The following is a 15,528-nucleotide window of genomic DNA, read 5'->3' as shown; positions in this document are numbered from 1 at the left end:
GTTATTCTTTTATTAGGATTTGGAACTTGGAAGGAGTGCAAACAGCTCATTTTGTTCTTCATTCTCCTGGCATGAGTGTGTGCTGGCATCCTGAGGAGACTTTTAAGGTTATTATTTATAATTTAACTCTCTTATCAAATTGAAAAGACTTATAGAGATATAAGACATCACATACATAGAGGAGGAAGATCAATGATTTTTCCCATCTCAGAGATACTAGTCAGCACAAAGGCATTTGGATTAGTCTAGAAACCTGTACTGTAGAAGTTTCTCTATAATTGTTAAGGTTTTTATTTGACAGCCATCATCCATAAATGGCATTTATTCAAACTACACTTTTCCTGACCTTTAGTGGATTTCAGTGTAAAAACTGGTGTTCCAACAATCTAGTAGCAGTAGGCAGGGATTTTTTTTGTTTTGGTTTTTCTTTTGTTTTTGTTTTTGTTTTTTTTAGACAGGGTCTCACTCTGTCACCCAGGTTGGAGTGCAGTGGTGTGATCTTGGCTCATTGCAGCCTCCGCCTCCCAGGCTCAAGTGATCCTCTCACCTCAGCCTCCTGAGTAGCTGGGACTATAGGCACATGCCACCACACCTGGCTAATTTTTTTGTATTTTTGGTAGGGCTGAGGTTTCGCCATGTTACCCAGGGTGCTCTCAAACTCCTGAGCTCAGATGATCCGCTCATCTCAGCCTCACAAAGTGCTGGGACTACAGGCATGAACCACCATGCCTGGCCCAGTAGGCAGTTTTTTGTTTGTTTGTTTGTTTGTTGTTTGTTTTAAGTTACATCATCCACGCTTGTGAGCCCTACTGTGTGAACAAAAAACATTAGTCGCATAAGGCAAATTTGTCTTAGCTACAGTAGTGTTCAATTCCTATTCAAGATAGAGCTTTCTAAAATACTAAAAATACACTACAAGTTCTTATTATCAACTACCCTTAATGCTGATTCATTGGAAAGTTAGGAGCCATTAAACAAGAATTCTCTCATTTGCCAGTATCTTCTCTTGGTCATCACTGTAGTTATTGTATGTTTCCCTAGAATCTGAGAAGTTACTACAATCATCTTTCTTAAAGTTAACTCTTCATCTGTTCTCTAAAGTTCATGGTAGTTCCTTAGGCTCCCACAGTCCTCTAATGTCTTCATACTTTTTTTTTTTTTTTTGAGACACAGCCTGGCTGTCACCCAGGCTGGAGTGCAATGGCACAATTAACCAACCTTTAATCTGGTAGTTACCAAGCATGGCCCCAAGTTTCATTTCCAGTAACTCTAGCATTCATCATTCACTGCAACCTTCGTATGCCGGGCTCAGGTGATCCTCCCATCTCAGCCTCCCGAGTAGCTGGGACTATAGGCACGCACCACTACACTCGGCTAATTTTTGTATTTTTTGTAGAAACAGTTTCACCATGTTACCCAAGCTGGTTTCAAACTCCTTGTCTCAAGCGATCTGCCCACCTCGGCCTCCCATATTGCTGGGACTACAGTTGTGAGCCACCGTACCGGCCATCTCCATGCTTTTTCTCTGTTGATTCTGTTCTGTCCTCAAGTTTGCATGAGAAGATAAGTTTCGTTAATCATAACAAGCACGTAGTGCTTACATACGCCAGGCCTATAGTCAGCATTTCATGTATGTTAGCTTATTTATTCCTCATGGGAACATGAGATAGGCACTGTGATTATCCCCATTTTACAGATAAGGAAACCAAGGCGCAGAGAAATTAAATAAATTATCCAAGGTCACACAGCTACTAAGTGGAAGAATAGGTATTTGAACATATGCCTCCCAGCTCCATAGGTCTTGCTCTTAAAAATTCCCTTTTTCCACCTCCCCTTTAATTTTAAACTATCTTCATCACACCTTTTATTTCTAAATGTTTGAATCCATCACTTGTACCTTTTAACTTCATTTCGTCTTTTCCCATCCCTTGGTCTAACACCATAATCTCAGTCAGTCTCCACTACTGTCTCACAAGGTACCAGGGATATTTTCAACACATCCCGTGGCCTTTTCCTTCATTCTTATTCTCCAGCCAGTGTTTTACACTGCTGATCACCTCCTTCTTGAAACTGCTAGTTTGATTTTTAAAGCCGCATTATCTGAGTCCTCTTGAGCAACTTTGCGTATATGTTCCCTTTTTCTTTATACTCTGCCAACTTTTCTTTCACCATATATTTGTGAATTGCTTCAAGGGTTAATTGTCACTACACTGTACCCTTTATTGTAATAGGGAATAAAAGAATGAATAAAGTCCTTAGTATACTGATGTATAAGGGAGAAAAAACATGTAAATACAGCAACACAAATAAGTTTTAGAATCAAAAAATCTATTAAGTAGAATGATGACATAAAGAAGGATTAACCAAATCTTCTCGCAGCTTTCACAGAGGAGATAATCCCCAGACTGTATCTAAGTGTGTGCTCTGAACCCTGGGATTTCATGGAAATTTGTTCCAGGCCCATTGAGTCTTTCATCAGTAGAATTATACTCTGCATATGTGCATGAGTGAAATGTTCTAACTTATTAAATTGATAGGTTTATTTCTGAGTCCAGTTCCTAAATTTTGTTTTATGCCTACATTTCTCCCTGAGAGCAGTGAGTCTACTTAAAACACACAGTTTCTACCAAAATGTTAATATCACCATATATAACTACAATAAACTGCTTTTTAAAAACTATGACCTGCATGACAAATGAGAACATTTATTACAACTTCTATCCCAAAACTTACATCTTAATGCTTAATTTCTTGCTGTTATTTTTTATCTCTTTCTTCCATATGCTTTAACTTAATTTGTTTTTTCTCCTACATATCATTAAAATTCCACCTTACCCCATCTCCTTTCTTTTATGATGTTTCCATGACTTCAGAATGTTTGAAAGTCCCTGTTCTAAATCACATAAACTCAGAATCCTAAAATCATCTTTAATTCTTCTTTCCCTATACACAAACTATTCCAGGTCTTTTAATTTTTCCTTCATTTTCACTAACTCTAGCATTCTTCTCTTCATTAAGGTGCATTCTCCCCCTTTCTTTTCTCATGCCTAACTTGCCAAGCCTTAGCTTGTTTCTAAAGTCTTTGGCTCTTTACTCTTTGATTCTTCTTGCCTACTAGACTAAGAGTCTTAGAATATCAGTTTCATCCTATCACTGCTAAACTCAGAAACCTAGAATACAGAGAAGTGGTTAAGAGTGTGGACTCTTGAATTAACTGCCTGGAGTCAGATCCCAGTTTCACCACTTACTAGCTGTGTGATCTCTGACAAGTTACTTAAACTTTCTCTGATTTCACTTCATCTTATAAAATGGATACATAAGATTAAATGTGCTAACGTGTAAAATCCTTTAAAAAGCACATAGTAAGCACTCAGTCAATTTTAGCTGCTGGTCATCGTTGATACTATTATTGCAGCAATAACAAGCCTAATGGCTTTCAGTGCTCTGCCATACGTTTTCAGTCATTTACAGTGCTCTACAGTCGTTTCAGTGCTCTGCAAGCCCAGAATTGTTAGCCTCTTATGCTTGGCCTTGATGAAAATAAGGCAGCTAGAGAAGAAAGATATGAGTTCATGATTACCTATCTCATAGAATTCTTATGAAAATCCCAAGAGATATAAACCATAAAAAAAGCCGTAAGATCAGGAAAACACAAAACAAATGGCTAGAATTTAACAGATAGTAAAATATACAAAAGTCAAGAGACCTCCAAAAACTAAGCTCCCAAATCCAATAAGACTCAATAGGAGCTAGGATTTCAATGCATACTAATAACAGGACCAAGGATTCAGGATGTCACGGGATCAAAGAATTGGGACTGAGGACATCTCAGTCTCTGACCCTAAGAAAAAAGAGGTTAAAGAGTAGCTAAATGTGGCCGGGAGCAGTGGCTCATGCCTGTAATCCCAGCACCTTGGGAGGCCGAGACAGGTGGATCACTTGAGCTCAGTAGTTGGAGACCAGCCTGGGCAACATGGTGAAACCTCATCTCTCATCTCTACTAAAAATGCAAACATTAGCCAGGTGTGGTGCTCGACCGTAGTCCCAGCTACTCTGGAGGCTCAGGTGGGAGGATTGCTCATGCCAGGGAGGTTAAGGGTGCAGTGAGCCCTTCAGCCTGGGCAACAGAATGAGACTCTGTCTCAAAAAAAAAAAAATAGCTAAATGAAATAGGTTTAACAGCCAACATTTGTTGAATGCTTTCTATTTTCCAGGGACTGTACTAAGTACTTGACATGTATTCTCACTTAATCCCCACAAAACACTGCAGAGACAGTAGTAGTATTGTATTTTGTAGATGAGAAAACCAAAGCACCAAAAGTTCAAGCATTTTGCCCAAGGTCACACAGTGACAGATTTGAACTCAATCTGGTTCAAATACGACAATGTTCTGTGCCACTTAAAGTATTTCCACCTTGGAAATTCACAGTGCATAGTATTGTTTATACTTCTGAAAATTCCTAAAGGAAAAATTCCCCCTGTAGCATTTTTAGATTCAGCTACTCCCAAACTTACTTAACTTTTCTACCCTATCTGTTCTTATCACCCAAAAAAAGATTTGTCATAATTGAGCACAGTTATACAGACAGTAAATAACAAAAATCTTTTGTTAGAACTGAGTTTTAATTTGACTTTAACCTATAATAATAGCCAATGTTTTTTGAGTGCCTGCTTTGTGCCAAAACAGTTCTAAGTGCTTTATATTTACTAACTCATACCATTCTCCCAATAGTCCTATCAAGTAGATACTCTTATTAGCCCCTTCTTAGTGATAAGAACCCGAAACACAGAAAGGTAAGCCGTTTGCCCAAGATCTTACAGCTCCTGAAGGCAGAGCTGGGCCCCATCCAGGCAGTCTGGCCATAGAGGCTGCACACCTGCTTACCATGCTTCATTGTTCATTGCCCCTACTACCTTCGGACCAGGCTCAGGTAGACTTAGCCCTTCCGTAGTCCATAAGTTATACCTGAAATTCTCAAGATCTTTCAAGTCACTCTTAAAATATCAAATATTTTTACTAGGTCCTGGTGAATTTTCCTCGATCTCTTACCTTTTCTGATCCTTCCCCACTGCATACTATAGCACACTAGACCACTCACCAGTCTTCAGCAGCCTAGCCTTGTAGCAGGGAACATGTGTGCACTGTAGTTAAACAGACCTGGATTCAAATTCAGGCTCCATCATGGGCTAGGGTTGATACCTTGTACAAGTTACGTGAATCACTTTGAGCCTCAATCTCATCTGAAAAATGGGATTAACGATAGTAATTTCCTCATACAGTGGTTTAGGGGATTAAATAAAGCAGACATGTAAAGCTCTTACCCCAGTGTTATACTTGTTTTTGTTGTGTTTGTCATTGACCTCATTGTACTTATTGTTAGTAGCATTAGTATTATCTTAACATTTGCCTGTTCTTAAAGAATCATTTTTGTTTTCTGTTTGTTTTGTTTTTGAGGCAGGGTCTCACTCTGTGGCCCAGGCTGGATGCAGTGGGACAATCATAATTCACTGCAGTTTCTATTTCCCAGGCTCAAGTGATCCTCCTGCCTCAGCCTCCTGAGTATCTGGGACTACAAGTGCTTGCCACCTCGCCTGGCTAATAAGAATAATTTCAAATTCCACTTCTTCTATTAAGAATACTGTAATTCCAAACAAACATTGTCTATATTCTGAAATAATTCCTTTTTGTACTCTAGAGCATTTTGCCTTAAATTATTGTCTGATTTTTTCATAATTCTCTTTTCTAGATAGAAAGTTTCTTGAGATCAAGGATTATGTCCTTTATCTTTGACTTCTGTTGGAATTAATACAGTGTTTTGTGTATGTATGTATGTATACAGTAGATCTTCATTATTCACAGATTTTGTATTTTTGAATTTCCCTCCTCACTAAACTTTATTTGTAACCCCAAAATCAATGCTCATAGCACTTCTTTAGTCACAGACATACGCAGGGAGCACAGAACAACAAAAAGTTTGAGTCCGCTTATGTGCACTTGCTCACCTAAAATTGAACAAGGTGAACTCTGGCTTCTTATTTTAGCTTTCATACTGTAAATATGTGTCTTTTCCTCGTCAGTTTAGTGCCACATTTTTAACATTTTTGTACTTTTTGTGGGTAATTTTACTGTGTAAAATTTTACTGTGTAAAATCATCCCCAAGCACAGTAATGTAGTGCTGGCTAGTGTTCTAAGTGCAAGAAGGCTGTGATGTGCCTTATGAAGAAAATAAATGTGTTAGGTAAGCTTTGTTTAGGCATGAGTTATAGCACTGTTCATGGTGAGGTCTATATTAATGAATCAGTATATATTAAGTAAGATATCTTTAAAAAGAAGCACAATTTTCAAAAGCTACGTATTGATCAGTCATCAAAAAGGCTGGCAGGGAACCTAACTGTGTATTTCCCCAGTGGTTCAGTATTCACTAGTTGAGTGTTTGCAGCAACTTTATAATAACAAACTACCATGAATAATGAAATTGACTATCCATGTGTGTGTGTATAACATAGATGCTCAGTAAAAGCCTGTTAGATGAATAATAGAATAAATGATGTTTTATGTGTTTAGGAAAGTACAAAAGTACGTTCTTAAAGAACAGTCACATTTTAGCCATACAGTAAGTTTTTGAATCTGATATAATTATCCTCCATTTTACAGATATGAAAGATAACTCCAGGTCACTCAACAGGTTTAAATGGTACAGCTCAGGAGTTTTGATGCCAAATCCCACATTCTTGCCAATCTACCACTACTATTTACACCCTCAAGGATTTTTCAACTTAATAGAACCAGAATTAAAAGAACACTGCTTAAAAGTAAGGACTTTACAGAGATGTAGAGAGTGGAAAAGCATTTTATTCAGGCATCAACTACTCATGCACTTAGATACTCGTAGCAATCTCATACCTTATCTCCCACAGATGGGTATAGCAATGCCATGATTCCTTGAGATTAAGAAAAATTTTTTCACATTTTATTATTTTGTAAAATTGGAATTTATATTATAATTAATTTGTGCGTTTGATAAAGTATTTCACACATAAAACTTACCAGTGTATTAAACATCTTAACTCAATGGTATCTTAGAGTAAAGGAAATAGTGAAGTAATAGCTACTATTTTTTGAGTGGGTGGCTACTATTTGTCAAGCATTACATTGAGGTACTTTACCCACATTACTATTTAATCATCACAACAATCCTGCAGCCATTCTTATCCTCCCATCTCCATTTTAGAAATGAGAAAGCTGCCAGTCACATGGCAGTCACTCAGCTTATAAGTGAAGGAAGCGGCGTGTCTGTGCTCTTTAACTATGCTGCCCTGCCTTCCATTCTAGAAACAAACTTCAGTTGCATAAGTATGTGTAACACATAAATGTCTGTCTCTCTTGAGAGATACATACTTAGCTATTCTTTCTAGACAATATAACTAACATAACTTAAAAGTAACTTTTCCCAGAAGGAATTGTTAAATTGATCTCTTCTTCTTAGTGACGGCACATCATCACTTAAAATTCTACCAAATCTCAAAATCTTTTTTTTTTTTTTAAAGAAGGAATTTCGCTCTTGTTGCCCCGGCTAGAGTGCCGTGGCACAATCTTGGCTCACTGCAACCTCTGCCTCTCGGATTCAAGCAGTTCTGCCTCAGCCTCCCGAGTAGCTAGGATTACGCGCATGCCACCACAACCGGCTAATTTTTTTTTTTTTTTTAGTAGAGACGGGGTTTCACCATGTTGGCCAGGCTGATCTCGAACTCCTGACCTCAAGTGATCTGCCCGCCTCAGCCTCCCAAAGTGCTGGGATTACAAGCGTGAGCCACCACACCCGGCCAAATCTTGAATTGTTTATCTTGCCAGTTTTCTCTAAGGTTTTTTATATTCTCTAGAGATTTTTACATAGCCTCTTCCTTTACATTTGATCTTCCATTTGTAATATAGGTTGAGGATCCTTATCTGACATTCTTGGAACTAGAAGGGTTTCAGATTTTGGAATTTTTTGCATTTTGTAATATTTGCATATACATGAGATACCTTGGGAATGGGACCCAAGTCTAAACATGAAATTCATTTATGTTTCATGTATACCTTATACACATGACCTGATGATAATTTTATATAACTTTTTTTAATAATTTTGTGCATGAAACAAAGTTTGTGTTAAGTGCTTATATGTGGAATTTTTCACTTGTGGTATCATGTTAGCACTCAAAAAGTTTTAGTTTTTGGAGCATTGCAGATTTTCAGATGAGGAATGCTGAACCTGTATATTGCAAATGTTTACATTTTACCGTACAACAGTGAATCTCTGCTTACACTTCAGGTATAGTTAGTGAGATAAGTGATTGAGTTTCTTTTTATTTTTCTGTCTTACAGCTAATGGTTGCAGAGAAGAATGGAACAATCCGGTTTTATGATCTTTTGGCCCAACAGGCTATTTTATCTCTTGAATCAGAACAAGTGCCATTAATGTCAGCACACTGGTGCTTAAAAAACACCTTCAAAGTTGGAGCCGTTGCAGGAAATGATTGGTTAATTTGGGATATTACTCGGTCCAGGTACTTTCTTGATATGTTTGTCTATTACACACCAAAAAAAGGCAGTAACTGTTGCTAAATGATCCACTCATCCATCCTGTTATACCTGAGACTATGCTGTCAAGCGAAAGCAAGTCTTTCCTATAGAAGGCCAGAGCTATGGATTTTTATATAACATAAACTTGCTATGCAGATTTACTCTGGGAGTAACCCAGAAAGGACAGTGCAAAAGAGGAAATCTTGGATCTGTGCAATGTTGACTTATATTGGAAAATAAGAAAAACACTGACCCTGTTGCATGATGGTTCCCTGCAGTGGTTCTAAGTCATGTCTTTATTGTATTTCATCTGTTTTAACTGATTGCTTGTTTAGGATTTATTATAGTTTAAACACATTGGACATTCTGTCCTATAAAGAGAAAATACTGTTTAAACCTTAAGTTCACCCACTTGAGTTTAACACATAATTCATAAAATGCAAAATATTATCTTTTAGTTATCCTCAAAATAAGAGACCTGTTCACATGGATCGAGCCTGCTTATTCAGGTAATGTACCGTTTTTGTTGGAGCTGTGATTTGATCTTTTGACGTTGCTGTGCCACCACTGGGATACTTTTGTAGTTCTCTTCTTTGCACTGGATTTTTTTTTTCCCTTATTGTTTTATAAGTGGTTATTTTACTTTCCCGACTAAGTCATTGCCTTTGTCTTTTGGTCTAGACAAGGAGTTGATTTGTTTTCCAAATATTTTCTTTACACAGAAAAACATGTAACCACTCCACCACTACCACCCCTACAATTTGGAATATATTATGCTTCCTGATTGTTCTGTGCTGTTAAGGATGTAAATGTAGGGGAGCCCATGTTCATGTATATAAACTTTATTATTATGTGTTAAATGAAACTATGCTAGATAGTATATCTCTGCGACATGTTTTTGCTTTTCACTTAAATTAACATACATGTCTACCTTGTTCTTTTTCATAATACTCCATTGTATAGTGTGGTCCTTAAGCCATTATTTCTGCTTTTTAAGTAACAGCAAAACCAAATAAGAGACTAAAACCAGTGAAATTTTATTATATGCTATATTCCAATAAGTTGTAGAACTTAGGGATACCATTATTAAGAATAAAATACATTCGACTAAATGTAAGAATGCCATGGATCGTTAAGATACATCCTGACTTCAGAGATGTGTGAACAAATATACACCAATGAGCAAGTATCCATCAATTTTAAAATCAATGAGCTATGGTACTTATAAGTCTAGAGGAGGTAGTCTCAGGGCTTGTTGAGCAGCTCATCAATGTCATCAAGAGCTCAGACCCTTTTCATCCTTTCCCTCTGCTATTCTCAGTGTCAAGGATTGGGACTTGTTGCTTCATAGTTACAAGATGGCTGTGAGAGTTCCAGGCATAAGAGAAGTACTCCATTTGCCGAACAATTAAACAAAAAAAAAAAAGTAAGAGGAGAAGAAGGAACCCTCTCCTTTTATGGGAGATTGCTATGACTGCCTTAAACTAATTATGTCTCATCCCCTAGGGTAGGACACACTGTGCCCTGAACAAAGTTAGGCTTCACTTAGCATGGAAAAGGGGCAGAATGGCTGTCATATTTGATGCCTTATTTGTTTCTTCTACCACACTATTACCCCTTTGGTTGTGAAAAAAAGGATTGTATCAACCTTGTGTAACTTTGGAACTTAATGAAATGACACAAAATAAGCACTTCATAAAACTTAAAGTATGAGAAAATATTTATGGAATATTTTCCTGGAATTCCCGGTCTAATTGTAAAGACATATTAACAAATTTAGGATTATTAAAATCACTGGTTTTATACAAAAAGAAACCTGTTTCTGTCTAGGTGCTATGGCTCATACCTATAATCCCAGCACTTCAGGAGACCAAGGCAGGAGGATCACTTGAGGCCAGGAGTTTGAGACCTGCCTGGGCAAGATAGCAAGACCCCATTCCTACAAAAAACAAAAAATTAAAACTTACCTGGGCATCGTAGTACACACCTGTAGTCCCAGCTACTAGGGAGGCTGAGGTGGGAAGATCACTTGAGCCCAGGAATTTGAGGCTACAGTGAGTTTTGTTAGCACTTCTGCACTCCAGCCTGGGTGACAGAGCAAGACCCTGTCTCTTAAAAAAAAAGAAAAAGAAAAAGAAAAAGCCCGCTTCAGAAAAGCTTGTCATTATCCATAGGATACGATACTTAATTTTACGCTTCCTTATTTCTTAGGTGGTCCACAATTAGTGAAAATCTGTTTGCAACCACTGGTTATCCTGGCAAAATGGCAAGCCAGTTTCAAATTCATCATTTAGGACACCCTCAGGTAATGTGGAAATGTTTTGTAACATACGTGCTTTTTTTTTTTTTAATTTGTGTTTTTGACTTTTCCACTCATAGCCCCAAATTTGTAATTTGTTGACTGAAGACATTTACGTTTGTTATCTGCTTAAATTGCAAGAAAAGGTGGTTCATTTGTTTTTGTTTTTTGTGTGGTTTTTTTTTGATGTTTACATTACCAGTGACAACAGGTTTTTTTGGCCAGTATTCATATAAGAAGCTTTTTATTCTGTTGCTTTTATATTTTCTTCTTTATTTAAATACATTAATTTTGCTTGTTTGGTTGGTGTAGACTGCAAAAATGGAGTCTGGACTGTACCAGTTATTCATAGATGGATTGTATCCCATGTTTCAGCTGCGTATCAATAATGTGTATTTCACCTGTAAGGGAGCATATTTTTAAATTTTGTTTATGCTACAAAGATAAATCATCAATGCATTTCATATTTTTGAAAGTCATTTTTATTTATTAATTTTGGGGACTTACTGTGCTTCTTTAATTCTTCACATATTTTATAGCCCATCCTCATGGGTTCTGTAGCCGTTGGATCTGGACTGTCCTGGCATCGAACTCTCCCTCTGTGTGTAATTGGAGGAGACCACAAGCTGTTGTTTTGGGTGACTGAAGTATAAAGTGTTTTCTGTACCTTAGATTCACAAACTTTGTATTTTTAGTACATATTTTGAAGAATTTCTATAGTACATATTTTGAAGAATTTTTATATCAAATATACCGTATACTTTAGAAAATGTCTCAGTTGCTTTTATTAAATAAAATGTTGATGGTTTGAAAAATTATTTTTCTACTCTGTTCTCTGTGTGTGTATATATATATATTTTTAATCTTACAAAATCATATTGACTCAGCAGCTCACCTCCAGAGAAGAGATGACTAAGGAAAAATAATGCTTTTGAGTTTATCAAAAAAGGAGTATTTGAAGTGTATCCTGTTTTCTATACTTTGAGTATATGCTGTTTTTCTAATTCTCAGGGACACATTTATCAAAAGAGAAAAAAAGGCCAGGTACAATGGCTCACACTTGTAATCCCAACACTTTGGGAGGCTGAAGGGAGTGGATCACTTGAGGTGAGGAGTTCAAGACCAACCTGGCCAACATGGTGAAACCCTATCTCTACTAAAAAAATAAAAATAAAAAAAATTAGCCAAGCATGGTTTGGAAGACTGAGGCAGGAGAATCACTTGAACCTGGAAGGCAGAGGTTACAGTGAGCCAAGATCGTGCCACTTCACTGCAGCCTGGGCGACAGAGCGAGACTATCTCAAAAGAAAAAAAATCCAAGGAGAAAAAAATATCTTAGGGTATTCTGGAAGTGGTTGTTGAGTATATATATGTGTATGTGTACTCAATTTAATGTAAAAAATTGTTTTCAGTTTCTTAAATATGTGATTGATTATATTGCTCAACCCTGTTTATTATACGCAGATTCCTTTGGACGAGGTGTTCTAACAGTCTTAGAACATCTGATATATGGGATCAAAAGTTACCTTGAAAAATGACTTCTAGTGTATACCTTTAACAGCCTCCTTTTTGTGAATTTTCACTGTTCTTACCAAGAAACTTAAGTGTTTTTGAGATGGGACCTGTTGGCAATGGAACTGTGTTCACCCTCTCAAAGATCATTAAAATCAACGTTATCTAAGACAGCTGTATCACATTTTTGGGATACATCATGGTACAGTCAGAAGCATATAAAATTATGGTTCTGCTTGTCAGTCACATACAGAATCCAATACATTTTGACAAACTGCCCATTCCTGCAAGTTAATGCCCTTTTTGAAGCTTCATTTCCTCTTGTAAAGTACAGATAGGAATCATTATTTTGTGGAGTTGCTGTAAAGATTAAATAAAGGTGAATGAAAATACCTAGTATGTGTCTGTCACGTGGTTCAGAGATGTATAGAAATTATTTATTTCAGAGATGAGTAGGTCTTATTTTTGAGGTTTTAGAGATTTATGTTTAATGCCAGTAAATATTTTTTACTCCAGTTTTCTATTCTTAAGGTGTCTTAAAATAATTGTAGAATCAAGAACATTATATTTTTAAGAGATAGGAGAATGTTCCAGGTAATTAAAAGAAAGAATTCAGTGAAATTTTATAACCATGTAGATGTTTGGGTTCAACTTTTACATGCTTTAAAGTACAGATGAAAAATTTTATAGCAATTTCCTAGTCAATTTTTTAATACAGTTAAATATTATAACCAAATGATATAAATTGTTTTGTTTACCCCTTCATAAGAAGATTTTGAACTAACAAAGGAAAAAGCAAAGAGCAAGGAATTTTGACATGGTTCTCTTTAAGAATCTCTGTGATGGGGCAAGGATTCCTAAAAGCATCAGGATAGCCAAAGGGCTATCAATAGTGACTCTTACAAGAATTTGTCATTTCAGGATATGTCCAAGAAATATAAAAATCATCTCTAAGGCTAGTGTGTTCAAAAATTGTTGTCATATACTTAGAAAAATTGATGCATGAAGTGGGTGGGTTTTATTTAGGGATGGAAATTAAGGAGATGATTATGTTGGGCTTGGGTATATAAGAAATGGATTCTCTGGAATAAGGGCTTAACCAAAATATAAAAGTTGTCTGATGAAATTACCCAGTAGGGCTGGGCGCAGTGGCTCATGCCTGTAATCCCAACACTTCGGGAGGCCGAGGTGGGCGGATCACTTGAGGTCAGGAGTTCAAAACCAGCCTGGCCAACATGTTGAAAACCCACCTCTACTAAAAATACAAAAACAAAATTAGCAGGACGTGATGGCACGTGCCTATGATCCCAGCTACTTGGGAGGCTGAGCCATGAGAATCGCTTGAACCCTGGAGGCAGAGGTGGTGGTGAGCCAAGATTACACCACTGCACTTTAGCCTGGGTGACAGAGCAAGACTCCATCTCAAAAAAAAAAAAAAAATACCCAATAGAACTTCTATCTTTTAGTAGGGGAAGCTGTTTTGGGAAAAGATAACTCATGATGATTGTATACTGTTATGCCAAAAAGAGGCAGGAAGTGTTATCCTCAGAAGAAAATAGTGATTCCATTTGTGGATTAATATAGTGACTGTAAGATAAGACATTCTCAAGAAATGAGAGGGTTGCCTTTACCTGTTAGTTTCAGGAGTGAAATGTACTTTATCCTATGTAAGCATTGAGAACTCTAACCTCTTTTTCTTTTTTTAGATCTTAAAAGTAGGCTACAGGACCATGTTCCAACTTATACTTTGTTGTTAAACTTTATTGTGTTTAATTATTTTAAAATCGTATAATGTTGTTTTTTTCTTAGTAAACTTTGTTCTTCGAAATATGTTTATATTACACTAAGACAGGAGGAAGTATTTATGAGGAATTAGTTATTGGTCATCACTTCTAATTCCTGATGATAATATGAGATATTTCACATTGTGTGTATGTCCCAGTTTTAGTTTTTCCATGTTTGTTTATAAATATGTCTAAGATGGTTTTTCTTCTGTTGAAATTTAAGTTTTCCTCAGGATTGCTTCACTTAAAACATCAAAGAGAAAAAAGTTGTACTTATGTTCTAAAACTTGTATTATTTAGGACTATTGAAGCAAACAAAAGTCAGGATATCACAAATCTGCAAGATGTCAGAGCTAAATCCTACATTTTCAGAATGATGATGGGATCATAAGTCCCATTTCATTTTTATGATTTGGCTTCTACGTTATGAATATTTCAATATCTCTCCCATGCCAAAACACAAAATCACACACCCATGCACTCCAATTTGTTTCTTACTTTGGTAATTTGTGACTACATATTGACACTGACCTAGAAATGTTTCTGTTGCTGTTTTAAATCTCATGTCAGTGGAGAAGAAATTGAAATCTGGTTTGCACATTTGTGTCTGGTTTTCTGTAATTGTCTAAAATCTGACATTGTCCCAGAAACGCTGATTGGGAAGTTATGAGGCAGTATTGTGCCCAAGACTGATTTTAATAGTTTTTAGGAGAGAAAAAGTTCTCACTCTACACTATTTTCCATGTTTTTCTATACCTCAAAAAGTTAAACTCAGTTTAACCCAACTTTATACCATACAAGTAATAATAGCCTTAGCTCTGAGCCTAAATAAAATTTGCCAAATAAAAATGATAATTATGATCCATTTCCACATACTCCTCATGAGAGCTTGGTCAAGTCCTCAGAAGCAGCATTGTGTTCCAATATATCTTTATCAAACAGTGTGCTCAGCAACAAGGACAGGAGAGAACACTCAGTTTCTTTAATTTTAACACCTTGTTGATTCAAAAACATTTAACAGGCATTTGAAAAGAATTTCAAAACAATTAACATTTGTTTCTAATACATTTAAAAAATAATGCCTTTTAAAATGTGGGTAGAACTTTTTTTATTAACATGGCTTTAATTTATAGCAACCATTTGTTACCTAATCACAGTAACACAACAAAATAATTAGTGTATCAGCTTTGAAGATCTCATTTCACAAAAGCTAAAAAACACGTTATGATATATCCATTACTCAAACTCATAAGCCCTTTTGCATGCATTGGGCATAGATTTCATGGAAAATCAAAAGCATTTAGTCTACTTTCTGACATTTTCATCTGTTCTTTGAACTACCTTAATAAAAAAAAATTGTTGCCCT

At 36.4% G+C, this 15,528-nt stretch overlaps 1 protein-coding gene across 2 annotated transcripts in view; it reads left to right on the top strand.

The window, feature by feature from the left end:
• The window catches only part of NUP37 (nucleoporin 37), a 47,012-nt gene extending 34,242 nt beyond the window's left edge, over positions 1-12,770 (top strand). The window contains exons 6-10 of one of the 2 annotated variants that reach the window (NM_024057.4): positions 17-107; positions 8,370-8,551; positions 9,026-9,076; positions 10,779-10,872; positions 11,406-12,770. In NM_024057.4, coding sequence (NP_076962.2) covers positions 17-107; positions 8,370-8,551; positions 9,026-9,076; positions 10,779-10,872; positions 11,406-11,519 — 532 coding nt within the window. In that variant the 3' untranslated portion in view covers positions 11,520-12,770. Of the gene's footprint in view, positions 1-16; positions 108-6,656; positions 6,812-8,369; positions 8,552-9,025; positions 9,077-10,778; positions 10,873-11,405 lie in introns of those variants that run through there. The other variant, XM_047429530.1, reaches the window with a different exon arrangement.
• The last annotated feature ends 2,758 nt before the right edge of the window (positions 12,771-15,528 follow it).

Source organism: Homo sapiens, chromosome 12 (assembly GCF_000001405.40).
Source record: "Homo sapiens chromosome 12, GRCh38.p14 Primary Assembly".
Lineage (NCBI taxonomy): Eukaryota > Metazoa > Chordata > Mammalia > Primates > Hominidae > Homo > Homo sapiens.
This window is presented reverse-complemented; position numbering and strand designations above follow the sequence as displayed.